General features: G+C 39.4%; 2 protein-coding genes across 4 annotated transcripts in view; one reads left to right on the top strand and one right to left on the bottom strand.

The window, feature by feature from the left end:
- CCNK (cyclin K) overlaps positions 1–15,044 on the bottom strand; it is a 31,032-nt gene that overhangs the window by 14,165 nt on the left and 1,823 nt on the right. For 2 of the 3 annotated variants that reach the window (XM_005268154.5, NM_001099402.2), the window contains exons 2-4: positions 5,402–5,650; positions 4,681–4,762; positions 2,647–2,778 (exon numbers count right to left, since the gene is read on the bottom strand). In XM_005268154.5, the coding sequence (XP_005268211.1) occupies positions 2,647–2,778; positions 4,681–4,762; positions 5,402–5,598 (411 nt within the window). In that variant the 5' untranslated portion in view covers positions 5,599–5,650. Of the gene's footprint in view, positions 1–2,646; positions 2,779–4,680; positions 4,763–5,401; positions 5,651–5,955; positions 6,331–15,044 lie in introns of all 3 variants that reach the window. The other variant, XM_047431839.1, reaches the window with a different exon arrangement.
- The window catches only part of SETD3 (SET domain containing 3, actin N3(tau)-histidine methyltransferase), an 88,711-nt gene continuing 85,484 nt past the window's right edge, over positions 11,818–15,044 (top strand). Inside the window, exon 1 of the mRNA XM_017021699.2 lies at positions 11,818–11,823. The gene's annotated coding sequence lies outside the window, so the exon portion shown is untranslated. The remainder of the gene's footprint in view (positions 11,824–15,044) is intronic.

Genomic DNA, 15,044 nt, shown 5'->3' with positions numbered 1-15,044 from the left:
CAGGAGCTTCAGAACTTCTACTTTCACTGTTCCTGGACTGGGGCTTGGTTTCCTGACTTCATGGTACAGTGGGTAAAGGCTAAAAGTAAAGGGGGCTTCTCCAAGGCACCCTGGGATGGCACAAACCAGCAGCTGCCACGAGTCCATGCCCTGCTGTGGTCCCAGATCTGTGTGATGCCTTATCCTTAAGCACAGCTTGCCAGCCACAAGGTTCACCTGCCCCTGTGACGGGGGTGTGACTGAACCACAGCATGTTCCTACAATCAGACTTATCACGTTAGGACACAGGGCCCCACTACTCAGTAAAAATCAAATACCCATGCACATTGAAAACATTATCTGATGGTGAAATTATTTCTATAAAACTGCATTTTTGGTTATAGTTAATATGAGTTCCTAATAGGTTCAAATGTTTATAAACAGATTAATGGATTTATAATTAAGTTCAAAAGAGTTACCCACATTGGCAATACTTAGAAAATACTAGTGTTAATCACAACCACAATATGTATAAAAGTGTTCTGGGCCCTTGTTAACTCCTCAAAGCAATGAGGAGAATGACTATACATTTTGTATATACATACATAATGCTTGGCAGAGAAAAAGATAACTATTGTGAGACAATACAAGCTAGTTAGGAAAAACAACACCATGAATGGGGCTGAACTTCATCGCTTTAGCTTTAACTGTGATTTAGAAATTTCCTCAGACCATTAGTTTGACATTTATTCCACGAGTACTTGCTGAATGCCTACTCTGTCCTGCCACTGAATGAGGCATTAGACAAAACAGATAGTCTTTGCTTTCATGCATCTTACAGCTGAGAAGGGGAGGGAGTTATGTGTGTGATAATTTGATAAAAATCATCTAATGGATACTACTATCTAAATGCACACCACTAAGTGAAAGAGACCAATCTGAAAAAGCTACATCCTATATGATTCCAATTCGATGACATTCTGGAAATGGTGAAACTATAGAGACAGTAAAAATATCAGTGGTTGCCAGAGGTTAGCGGGGAGAAGGAGACAAACAGGTGGAGCACAGAGAATTTTTAAGGCTATGAAAATAGACTACATGATACTATAATGGTGGCTACATGTTACTATACGTATGTCCAAACCCACAGAATGTACAACACTGAGAATGAACCCTAATGTAAAGTTTGGACTCTGGGTGATGTGTCAATGCAGGCTCATCAGTCATAGCAAATGTACCACTTTGGTCGGGGGGATGCTGAAAATGGGGGAAGCTGTGCATGTGTTGGGTGGGGGGTATATGGGAAATCTCTGTACTTTCCACTCATTTTTGCTGTGAACATAAAACTGCTCTAAAAAAAAAAAAAGCATTTTTTTTTTTTCTTGAGGTGGAGTCTTGCTTTCTCGTCCTGGCTGGAGTGCAGTAGCGCAATCTTGGCTCACTGCAACCTCTGCCTCCCAGGCTTAAGCAATTCTCCTGCCTCAGCCTCCCAAGTAGATGGGACTACAGGTGCGTGCCACCATGCCCAGCAAAAAATAATAAAGGTTTTTTTTTTTTAAAGTAATATTAGTTTATTTATTTTTTTTTGAGATGGAGTTTTGCTCCGTCGCCCAGGCTGGAGGGTAGTGGTGCCATCTCGGCTCACTGCAAGCTCCGCCTCCCGGGTTCATGCCATTCTCCTGCCTCAACCTCCCGAGTAGCTGGGACTACAGGCACCCACCACCACGCCCGGTTAATTTTTTGTATTTTTAGTAGAGACGGGGTTTCACCATGTTAGCCAGGATGGTCTCGATCTCCTGACCTCGTGATCCGCCCGCCTCAGCCTCCCAAAGTGCTGGGATTACAGGCGTGAGCCACCACGCCTGGCCAGTTTATTCTTATATAGTAGAGATGGGGTTTCGCTATGTTGGCTAGGCTGGTCTTGAATTCCTGGGCTCAAGCAATCTGCCCGGCTTGGCCTAAAGTATTTTTGAAAATCTATTTAATTGCAAACTGTGATAAATGTTATGAAGGATAATTAACAGGTGTTACTGAGGTTGCAACAAGGGGAACTTGATGCGAATGGGAGTGGAGGAACACTGCCATGGGTCCCTAAAAGTGGTATTTTAAAAACACAACAAAATATGTACAATTATTTGAGCACCACTTGCTGACACTGGCGTGAGCTGTATGGAAAAGATAGGATGGCTGGTGTGACCAGTATCAAGCTCTGGGTGCATAAAAATGCTGCAAATGTTGATACCTTCCAACATTCTTTAGAAGCAAAAGACACATGGCATATGTAGGCATGTGTATGTGTACATACAGCATACATACTTTTGTTTGACCCAGAAGCTAGCTGGAGTTGTAACCCTGCCATCACCACTGCACTTAAGAAGCAGAGTCCTAATGGCAATTAAGAGGATTTTTGCTCATATCCATGAAATGTGCCACTGCCCCAAAGTACTTAGAATACTGCTGGGCACATAAGGAAGCACTGAGTAAGTGTAGGCTACACGATCTTCCCTCCTTTCTTACAAAAGCATCAAGTAACTTCTACAGAAGGCCCTCTTAGGAACTCAAGAGACTGGCAGACACAAGGGCTACAGGCACTGTCAACATGTGGAACTGTACAATACTACCATAAGGAATCAAGACCAGAAGGCAGGAAGTTATTATCATTCTTACCTTTGGGTCATCTCCAAACTGGCCAAATTGTACATCATTTAATAAACTACGAGCTGTTTTGATGATATCTTTACATTTTTTTGGTGTTTCTTCTACTTTCCCAGCCAGAAAGAGGCAACAGGCTCCTGTCACCTAAAAGGGAAACAAAAGTTCTTGATTTTTGTTATCAAAGGTCACACAGAAATAGATACAATAAATTTTGGCCTTCGTAATAAACTGGTCTTCCTCATTCCCCTACCTTTCTTTTTATCATTCACAAATACTCCGATACTCTAGAAGCTTGAAGGAAATTTTATACATATAAATCCCCCAAACTCTAGCTTCATAAATTATTTAAAATTTAACTTTCTTAAAAAAAAAGTCATGTAAACAAAGAAAATGCCAAAAAGGAAAAGAGTCACATAAATAAATTTTCTTCTCATATTCCAATCTGAAATTAACTCCCTAAACAGCAAGCTTTGCCGTGGAAAAAGAAAGAGCACAACTAAACACAGTCCCGCGGAATCCATCTCAGCAGCACTGCCCATGCTTCCTTTTCCTTCTAGCACAGTCCTGTGGAATCCATCTCAGCACTGCCCATGCTTCCTTTTCTTTCTGCTATGGTCTGAATGTTTATGTCCTAATTCATAGCTTGAGACCTAATTCCCAAGGTGGCGGTATGAAGAAGTGAGGCCTTTGGGAAATGATTCTGAATGGGATTACTGCCCTTATAAAAGAGGCCCAAGGGGCTTGTTCCTCCCTTCCACCATTTGAGGATGCGGCAAGGAGCCCTTTTATGAGGAACAAACCCTTACCAGACACAGAATCTGCCAGCACCTTGATCTTACACCTCCCAGTCTCTACAACTGTGAAGAGTTAAGTTTCTGTTGTGTGTAAATTATTGGGTCTAAGGCATATTGTTATAGCAGCCTGAATGGATGAAGAAACTGTCCCTCCAGTTGCCTCAACCTTAGCTCAGTCCCTATATCACTGGGGTCTGAACTGCTCTGTCTTCAGCTTCTCTTTGCCCACTCCAATCCTTCCTACATGCCACTCTCCTCACATAATCCTGATCACACTAGATGTCAGACACTCTGCCGGGGGTACAAAACTGATTCCAACATGGTCTCCTTCTTCAAGAACTTCACAACCAGTGAGGAAGGCATGTATATAAATCTAACTAAAATCTTAGCTAACAAATCAACACAATGACTTTAATGTTAAGTCTGTCATTTTCACGAAACCTTTTAATTACTGCATTGTTCACCCACTGAAGCCAAATTTCTGAAGTCTGGCATTCGAGGCTTATCGTGGTCTGACCCAGTCTACCTATCCACCCAGGGTCTCATCATTTCCTTCCTGCCAAATCAAGCTCCTGGCTGGGCTGACAATGTGTCACATGGTTCCCCCTGCCTCTGCTTATGCTAGCTTCTGTTGGACCACTGACCTAGCCCATCACGGCATGGCTATGCCCTATGTACGTTTAAGGCTTACCTTAATGCTGGCACCTTCTTCCTAGCACTTTCCCTGCTCTCTCCAAGATGTAAGTTGTCTCCTCCTTGAATGCCACAACTCTTTTATCAGTATCTTCTGATGGCCTCACTTTCCATCACGTGTTCTGTGCATGTCATACCACTTATCCTGGACTGAAAGCTACTCTATCTCCCACAGAGAGTAAGACACAATGCACGTCTTGAGGAGTAACCGAAGAATGAGTGATATGGCATAGACAACTTCTGTTCCATTTTGCTTTCTTGGTCTTTGTTGAGTCTCAATTATAAGCCCAAATTTATGCTGGGAAAGGTACCACGGGAGTAAACTTTCATACAAAGCGCAATATGACTATGGTCCATATTGGCCTAAGTGAAAAGATTTGAACATGGCTAATTGGAATAAAAAAAGTTCAAACTTGATTTTGTTTATATGCAGTATATACCATATAAAAATAAATACTTTCTGGAAAATATGAGAAAAATAGAGCTTATAATTAGTCCACCAAACTGTGTGGAAATAATAACATATGACAGAGAATTACAATAAAATTCAAACACTTACATATCTTGGGAATTGCTTGAAGGAATGAAACATATAGAAGCGATGAAAATAAATTATTCCAGTTGCCAGGGTATCATAGTGTCTGTTGTTCTGGTTAAGGACTCTAACCAATAACTTTTACAGGTTATACTCTTAGTTAAATGTAGAAAAACAAAAAGACAAACAACAACAACAAAATCAATGGTAAAGTAAACAATATTAGTGGCAAAGTAATGAGATGGGAATCTCAGGGTGTCAGAATTCTGGTACAAGAATTAGCAAGCTGAAGTTTTATACTTTTAACACCCTTTAGAAACACTTCAACTATGATCTTTTTTTTTTTGAGACAGCATCTCTGTCACCCAGGCTAGAGTGCAGTGGTGTGATCTTGGCTCACTGCAGCCCAGGTTGGTCTCGAACTCCAGATTTCAAGGGATGCTCCTGTCTAGGCCTCCCAAAGTGCTGGGATTACAGGCATGAGCCACTGTGCCCAGCCTCAACTGTGATCCTAATGGGTGCCTCATATCCTCCTGGCTGGCCACCTCCTCAGTGGCTAAGTCTACACCTTTAAAATGACAAATCAGAAAGAGAAAAACCCCCACCAGAAACAACATTCAAACAGATATTTAAGAACTGCTCTGGTACAGAGAAATTACTATATATTTTGTCTACAGAATCTAATTATTTCTTGGTGGTGAGTGGGGAGCCTATCTGTAACAGATTCCAAGGAGAGTCAGGATACAGCCCCAAACGTGTGCCCACATCAAAGATGAACCGAGCGCCCTCTCGGCGGTACCGGGCCTCGGTGGCTGGATCAAGTCCTTCAAGTTGTGAGGGTGTATGAGCCAAGTCTTTCTTATCCCAGTACCAACATGGCTTTGTGTGGTCCAGGTTTGCTGAAGTTACTGAAGGGCTTGAATTTTCTTTATTCTCCTTCATTTATTGAAGTAGGCTTGTTCTTTCCAAAAGGTTCTCTGAAAATGTTAGAATCCTATGAGAAAGAGAAAAACAAAGTTGGAAAGGAATACTCCATACTATAAGCAATCTAGAATCATAGATTGTACCTGGTTTGGGATCACTATTTCCTATAGAAACCACACTGTCAATTGCCAGTTACAAGCCCGGGCTAACTCCAGAGCCAATTTAACACAATACTGTAAGATGACCCCAGTACTAATATTAATAAATCTCAAATTTCATGGTAGTTTAAAAATAAGACTATTTCCTCCCTCTCTCTTGAGATTAAAGGGTTAACCTTATTTGACAAAGTTTTGGAAGAAACGAAGTATATCTCACTTTCTTCTGGTTTTTCTTCACTAGACATACAGGTCCTCTAACGCTGGTCCAGATTCCATTCTTCAGCAAAACCTGGGCCTGTCTTAATCTTGACAAAGATTTATGTTCTAAAACTAACCATCTCTTCCATCCAGCACCCCTTTTCAGTTTATTCCATGTAGGCACTTTCACTTAGACAAGTCATGGGATTGGGTTAATTCACATCTGCACAAATCACTGAATTCACTGATGTAAACCAAATGTGCATCTTGTGATTTGGGGAGTGGGTGGATGGAAGTGGTCCATGAGAGAAGGAGCTCCTTTAAACTGTTCTTGCTTTTTCATCCTCTTCCTTTTCTTTCACTCAGAATAAAGACACTCTCCAAAAGCTCCATGCTGAGAGAAAGAAAGAAAGAAAAAAACAACAACAACGAAGGATCTCATCTAGAGACCACTGTTAGAAATAAGTCATTTGTAACCTGGATCAGAGACAGCAGATACTTTCAAATAAGGTATCAAAAGGGTTCTGAAAGAGCTGGCTGGAGCCAGGTTAGTCTGGTTAGCAAGAAAACAGCAGCTCTGTGGCCAGGTTCTGGGCCAGGGCTCCCACCAGTTCATCTGGAAACCTAACCTTTTCTGTGTATCTGCCTCATTTCTGGTGGGGAAGGTGACATGGTGGGGCTGAATATTCTCCTCCTTGCACCTGGTAGCTCTGAAGGAAATCTGATCTTCCCTCCAAGAGGAAGAATTAAGTACCTGGAGAAAAGCTTGAACTAATAATTTACATTTTTGTGTGTGACTGATTAAATTGGGCACTGTTCAAAGGGCGGGGGAGACCAGTTAATTAAAACCTCAGAAAATATGACCTGTTCATAATCAGACATCACACTGAGATACAATTCTCACCTACTGGATTGGCAAAAATCCCAAAGTTTGACAATTTGCTCTGTTGGCAAAGCTATAGAGAAGCAGGTGATCTTATAAGCTTCTGGTGGGAGTACAAAATGGTCCAACTGTCACAGAGAAGTTGACGATATCCAACAAAATTACACATGCATTTGCTCTTTGACCCAGGATTCCCACTGCTGGGAATCGACTCTGAAAATATTGTCCTAACTATGAAATGTCACAACTATGAAACAACATGTGCACAAGATTATTCACTGTAGTGTTATTTATAATGGCAAAACTATGAACAACCCAAACGCCCATCATCAGGGGACTGGCTGAGTAAAATATGACACATGCACACAATAGCATACCCCACAGCTATTAAAAAGAATGAGAAACATCGTTAAGTACTGGATGGAGAAATTTCCAGATCAGCAAGGTATAGGATAGTGTACACAGTATGTTAGCATCTATGTAAGAAAGGAGGGGAAAAAACAGACATCTCTTTTTTTTTTTTTTTTTGAGACGGAGTCTTGCTCTGTTGCCCAGGCTGGAGTGCCAGTGGCATGATCTCGGCTCACTGCAAGCTCCACCTCCTGGGTTTACGCCATTCTCCTGCCTCAGCCTCCCGAGTAGCTGGGACTACAGGCGCCCGCCACCACGCCTGGCTAATTTTTTTGTATTTTTAGTAGAGATGGGGTTTCGCCGTGTTAGCCGGGATGGTCTGGAGCTCCTGACCTCGTGATCCGCCTGCCTCGGCCTCCCAAAGTGCTGGAATTACAGGTGTGAGCCACCGCGCCCAGCCAGACATCTCTATTTTTTTAAAGTAATTCAAAAAATATTTACCAATAAGGAATGGGGAAAAACAGGATGGAAAAGACAGGAATGGAAACAAGACTTCTCTATGTATATATCTTTTTATACAGCTTTGCCTTTTTATGAAAGCTTTTATTTTAAACTAATTGTACGTTTACAGAAGAGCTGTAAAGATAGATGAGTTTTGTCTATACCCTTCACTTAGCTTCCCCAATGTAAACATCTTCCATAACCATGGTTCATTTATCCAAAAAAAGAAATTAACTTTGGTATAACCACTATTAACTACACATCATATTTGGGTGCAGGTGATATCAGAACAACTTACTGCTGTTAACCATGAGCTCTTGGTTAAGATGGAGTCTACCAGGTTTCTCACTGTAAATTATTATTTTTCCCTTCCTATCTTCTATTCCTTAGATGCAAGTCACGAGGTCCAGCCCACACTCAAGGGTAAAGGAATTAAGCTCTACTTTCTGGAGGCAGAGATATCAAAGAAATTGTGGACATATGTTAAAACCACCCACTAGTAAGTAAATATTTTGGGGGAAATATTTTACAATGCAAAATACTATACAAATGTCTATTTCTCCTTCAAGTTTCATCTACTAATTTTAGCATTCACCTGAGACGATTACAACTGTGGTGTTCTAATGGTGACTTTCTATTTCCTTCACTGCTTCAACATTTATTATTTGGAATCATTTTGTTAATATTTGTTTCTTCTCTCCCATTTGTTTATTTACTTTAGTACAGACATGAGTATTTTATTCTTTGGGTTATAATCCAATACTATCATTATTTATTTTGTTGCTCAAATTATTCCAATGTGGCCATTAGGTGCTCTTTCAGCTTGACTCCCTGCAGAGTACTTTTATAACTTTGATGTTTGAATCATGTAAATATTTAACATACTCATACACTTAACTAAAAATAAAAAAGCAAATCCTAAAACTCAAACCAAATGGGCAACAAAATCACACAGAAACTTACTTCCAAGTAATTTCTGATATTGTTACATGCTTAGTGAGATATATTCTAAGGACAAAAATAACTGAAAAGAATTATTTATTTGTTTATTTATTTACTTACTTACTTATTTTAGAGTCAGAGTCTTGTTCTGTCACCCAGGCTATAAGTGCAGTGGCATGATCCTAGTTCACTGCAGCATCGAACTCCTGGCCTCAAGCGATCCTCCCGCCTAGCCTCCCAAAGTGCTAGGATTATGGGTATGAGCCACAGTGGCTGGCCCCAACGAAATTTTAAAACTTCATTAGTGTACTGTTAGTAGTGTCATTAATGTTGTAATTTTCAAACACATTTTTTTTTGCATGTTGTGGAATAAAGCAAATATGTAAATGCTAATGTTGTTAGGAACCAAGATTTTCAGTGCAAAGAAAACAAATGCACACATGCAGAAAACCAAATGTTAAGAAACAAATCTGTAATGTTAAACTTTAACTGAAGATATCAAAATAAATCATGGTTAAAAAAAAATATATATATATGTATCCCATTTCTGTCCTTTTCAAGTACCAAGAAGGAATGACACTCCTAATTCTGAAATCTTAACTTTTTCAATACCAATACCCTCTAAAAGGAAGCAGGTTTCTTTCCAGTCTGGGGTTGGAGCCTGCCTGGGATGTACTCAGACTAATCAAAGCTTATCAAAAGACATAGGACTGCTGAAGGAATGATTTGCTAGGGAAAAAAAAAAAAAAGACATAGGAGCCACCATGATGGGTGCCCACTGGACTAATCCAAGGTAATTTGAATAGCAAAAAGAAAAATAACTGTGGTTGATCATAAAATAGTGAACATACAATCCAAGTGTCCATAATATTAATACATATAGAGAATAATACTTTGCTAGCACTGATAACTACTGATAATAAAATGCTACTGATAATAAATGCGACTTTGCTAGCATGGATATTAACTACTGTAAAAAAAATACAGTTGATCCTTAACAAAATGATCACACTTGACATCACTAATAGGGTGAAAACCTGACATTACATGGCTTCTGATGTGATGCAATGTGAAATAAATATCACCTACCTATGTAGTATTCTTGTCCCCCAAAAGCTTAACCTAAATTTAAGCAAACTTTTGACCGAACTTCCAGTTTACAATAAATACTGGTGGTACAAGAGTAAGTGAAAAAAGCACAACATGGAAACTATCAGTCACATCCAGAAGGTGAGACACTCTACTCAACAACTGACCCGGTCTCTTCAAAACAGTGTTATGAAAAAACATTTTGAGAGACTGTCTTAGATTTAAAAAGGCTAAAGAGGGCTACAACAAAATGCAATGTGTGAACCTTGATTAGATCCTGCTTTTTTTTTTTTTTTAAAAAAAAGAAATTTCAAACAATTTGGAAAAATTTAAGTATAAATTGTATATTAGAGGGTATTAGGGAGGGAATTACTGTCAGTTAATTTTCTTTGGGGGTAATAATGATATTGTGATTACACAGGAGAATGACTTTATTCTTAGCAGATGAAGGCTGAAGTATTTTGGGTAAAGTGTCATGATGTCTGCAACCTACTTTCAAATGGTTCAGCTAAAACACAACCACACAGTAAACATGGCAAAAAACGAACATGTGTCCACAGGTAAATAAGTTGTCATTGCACTATTCTTTCATACAATAAAAAGTTGGGGAAAAAGTCAGATGAGACTGAATAGGAGACCAGGAGGACTCCTTATCTTCATCAATCCCTCGATAGCCAAGGAATACTTGCTTATGTGTGGGTACTGCTTTCATAAATTACAACACTGTGATTTGAATTATAGCATACAAAAAGAAAAGTGAACTAATTATAAGTGTATGGCTGATTGTTTTTCACAAAGTAAACACACCTGTGTTAACACTATTCAGTTGAGAAAGAGAACAGTACCAACATTCCAGAAGCTCTCTTCGTTCTTTCCTAGTGACTATCCTCCCAAAGATAACTATTCTGACCTCTATTTCCATCAATTTGTTTTGCCTGTTTTTGAAGGACTGTGCGATGACACAGTACCACTTTTACATTTGGTTTCTTCTGCTCAATATTAAGTTCATGGGATTCATTCCTGTTGTTGCATAAAGCAGTATTTGTTCATTCTCACTGCCGCAGAGCAGTGGTTTTTAAACCTGGGACAATTTTGCCCCCCAGGGGACATTTGGCAATGTCTGAAGACACTTCTGGTTTTCCTAACTGGGGGGTTGCCACTGGCATCTAGTGTGGGTAGAGGCCAGGAATGTTGCTGAATGTCCTCAGTGCACAGAACAATCCCCCATGACAAGAAATTATCTGGTCCAACATGTCAATAGTGCCAAAGCTGAGAAAGTCTGCTGTACAGTACAGTTATATCCTATGAATGCAACACACTTTATCTATACATTCTACTGTTTGGGCATGTAAATGTTTCTGGTGTTTGATTATTAATAAGTGTTAAACATGTACATATATTCTTATAGAACAGAAGGCAACTGGACAGTTGGCTGAGGGAATCAATATCTTAGCACATCTTAGCAATTTATTCACAGTTGGGAATTGCTACTTTAATATACATACGCCTAACAGTTTTCCATGTACTTTTTCATTTAAATATTTCCTGAGCATTTACTATGAGCCAGGCCTTAATGGCATGGCAGGGCACAAGATAAGTAAGGTCTTTGCCCCAGGAAGCTTACATTCTAGTGGGAGAGACAATAAGAAAGAAATATATGAATATTTGTCAGGGAATCTTAAGTGCCACAAATAATAACGCATGTAAGGGGAGAGAACATAATGAGGTAAGGGCTGTTTAGAGGTATGCAGAAAGAGGAAGAGTTAGGAGATTATAGTAGCAGTTCAAGTAATGCCTAATACACCTGTCTCCACACAATGGCAGCTGGAACAAGGGGTGTGTGTGTCATAATTGGCCATGAGGCAAAGAATGGAAAAAGATGATTTCAAGTTTGACTGACACAGAGGGTGATACTAAAAAGACAAATGGATAAGACAAGAGAAAAAGCTGGTTTTGATAAGGAGGGAGGAAAAGAATTTGGCTCTATAAATACTAAGCTTGAAGAACTTTAAGATCCTTTTGTGGAAATATCTATCAGACAGATAAATAGGCCAGTTGAAGTCTCTACAGAACATATCTACTTGGGGTTCATCTACACAGAGGTGATAACTATAAAGTCATGTTGACGGATGGAGGGATGGAGAGTGAAGAAGGAAGGGGTCTGGGTACAGAACTCTGTGAACTTGTACCAAGTAGGAAGAATCACCAAAGGCGAGCGTTTGCCCAGTGACAGGAAGGTAAAACAGACTTGAATGCACTTATGATTTACCCACTTGCAGACTAAGAATCACCAAATTAGAGAAAGGGAAAAAGACTGGTCCAAGAAGTAGGGAAATTTGCATCCTTTGTTGCAAAACAAACCATGGGATGTCAGCTTTAAACCAGAGATGGTAGTCAACAGTGACAAATGCTAAAGAAAAGTTAAAGGACAAGGAACTAAGGAAAGTTTACTTTAATTGGTGATTAGTTGTTTATTAGAGACACTGAAAATTGTGATGGTTTCATGACTCTGCAAATACTAAAAACGACTGATTTGTACAGTTTAAATGGGTAATTTGTACGGTATAGGATTATATTTCAAGAAAATACATATATACACATATAAATAAAATAACATTTTTAGAAGTGCAATAGGGCAGAAGGTGTAGAAACTGCAAGGGGTGGTAAAGAATGAACAGACTAGGAAATAGGTTATTCTTTTTTATTCATTTTTTAATTTTTTGAGACAGAGTCTCCCTCTGTCATCCAGGCTGGAATGCAGTGGTGCTCACTGCAACCTCCCGCCTCCAGGGTTCAAGTGATTCTCCTGCCTCAGCCTCCTGAGTAGCTGGGATTACAGGCATAAGCCACCGTGCCTGGCTGGAAATAGGTTATTCTTTTGAGGCATCTGTTCTCAAAGAGAGTAACAGGGAATAGTAGGGAGTAGGTTTTGTTATTGTTTTGGTTTTTATATATTTTTCAGCATAAAGGAGAATGAAAAATGTCTGCAGCCAGTAAAAACAAAAAGGAATCACTAGAGGAGTCAGAACAAGGGAGGCTAACTGGTCAAGGGATAATAAAAAGCACAGCAAGAAAGTTAACCTTAGAAAGAAAGCTCTTTCTTCCCCTGAGAATGGAAGGAAAAGTTTGAGAAAGATATTTTTAAATAATCTTTTAAGGGGGAGGAAGTAACTAAAAAATCTCAAGAGTACCTCCATATTCTCTAGGAAGTATAATGCCAAGATATCTGTTGAGGGGAAAGGGGCAGAACGGGGAACAGTGTTAGGAATACCCCAGTAGGGATGAAACTGGAATGGAAAAGAACCTCGGTCCACAAGCGGATAAATCGTAAGTATATTCAATTGTTTTACCTTCTGTAACTGGCCAAACTCCTGGTCCCTTTAGGTTCCAAGGCAGAATATAAACAATTCATGAAATGTAGTGAAAATATTATGGACATAAACAGAATAGAGACAGTCCTCAAAATCGTAGAACTCCCTGAAAAAGTTTTTGCCTCAGGTCTATAAACCTGTTCCCTATTACTCTTCAATTATTTTTTCACAAGACCCTAAAGTTGTAAGTTTTCTCATTAGTAGCTTGTGATTCCTCTGAAAATGACTGAGATTTATGAACTCTGCAAAATGAAAATCCATAAACAAGCAACCTGTCAAGGCATTTTAGCAGCACCTTTCAGGAATGTGCTTCATAAATATCATTTTACATCATAAAAGACTAAATATATTTTCAACATTTAGAATTATGGAAACAATAGTAAATGTCACCACTCAATTATCTCACCCAATATCGAAATCCCCTCTTAGTAATATTTGGCCACTTATCAATGAAACCTCATTAGTTTACAAAACAGCCTATGGCATTGCTGGGTATCAATAACTGGTGTTCACATAATTCCTGTATTCCTATATTGATTTTTATCTGTCCTGTTCATCCCCTAGATCTGCTACACAGATGGCATAAAATAATGCATGAATGAAATCTACCTTTTAGCGACTCTTTAACTTCTACCAGGGTCCTTAAACTAAGCCTTGAAAATACATTTCCCTTATCTATTGATTGTCTTTCAAACAGGTAAAAGCAATTTTTACATTCTCTTCTCTAGGGTAAACAAATCTAACCATTTTTCTCATCATGATTTTTCTTTTTTTTTAGTGTTTCAAGTCCTCCCTAAATATTAGGAATCAAAACAGATATGATGTGCATAGCACATGGGAGGGGGGTGGTAACTAACATGCAGTAACATGTCCATTGTGTGTCTGCTGCGTTGCAGCATGTCTGCAAGCTAGTTTTCTTATCCTCACAATTTATCACTGAGAAAATGGAGCCAGAGACACGAAACAACCTGACTAATTCACAGCTAGCAAGCAGCATCACAACTAGTCTTACTTTATACCAAGATACTGCCTTCCCTCAATCTAGACACTGCTTTTCTTCTGTTTAAGTGGAATGTTACATCCTAGAACCACTTTTGTCAAGCCAGGAAAACTCAGGTTTTGTAAATGTAATCACACCAAGTAAATTTATTTATTTTTTATTTTTTTTGAGACAATCTCACCTAGTAAATTTATATCTGGCCAGTTCTGGCCTATTATTATATTTCAGCCTTTAAGAAATCTTTGATTTCTGAGTGTCATCTAATTTGCTCATTATCACTACATGGTTTGAGTGCATTTATTAACTTGAGAATCACGCTGCTTATCTATTTAAAGTTGGTATTAAGAAAGTGTTAATCCGAGTAAGGGCAAGACCAGAGTCCTGTAGCATATCTCCAAAGACATCTCCCCAGGCTTACATCAACTCATTAATCAACATTTCGGGTTTGGTAATTTGCATGGATATAAATCCATCTAACCACACCTTATCCAATGCACATTTAACTCTTGTGTCTACACACAGTATTAGAATCTTGTTGGAAGACTATGTCCTAAATAAACTTAAATGAACTTATGTCCAACAATCCCCAATCACCACCAGTCTAGTAAACTGTAACAAAAGGAAATATGATTTGTGTCACCTGGCTTTTTCTTGAGACAGGGTCTTGCTTTGTCGCCCAGGCTGGAGCGCAGTCACCCGATCACGGCTCACTGCAGCCTTGATCTCTCAGACTCAAGTGATCCTCCTGCCTCAGTCTCCCAAGTAGCTACTACAGGCATGCACCTCCACATCTGGCTAATTTTTTGATTTTTTTTTTGTAGTGGTGAGGTCTCACTATGTTGCCCAGGATGGTCTTGAACTCCTGAGCTTGTGTGATCCTCCAGCTTTGGCCTCCCACAGTACTGGTATTATAAGCGTGAGCCACCACCTCTGGCCTCACCTGGCCTTTTCTCACTGAAGCTCTGCTGGCT

This window comes from Homo sapiens, chromosome 14 (genome assembly GCF_000001405.40).
Source record: "Homo sapiens chromosome 14, GRCh38.p14 Primary Assembly".
In the NCBI taxonomy this organism is placed as follows: Eukaryota; Metazoa; Chordata; class Mammalia; order Primates; family Hominidae; genus Homo; species Homo sapiens.
This window is presented reverse-complemented; position numbering and strand designations above follow the sequence as displayed.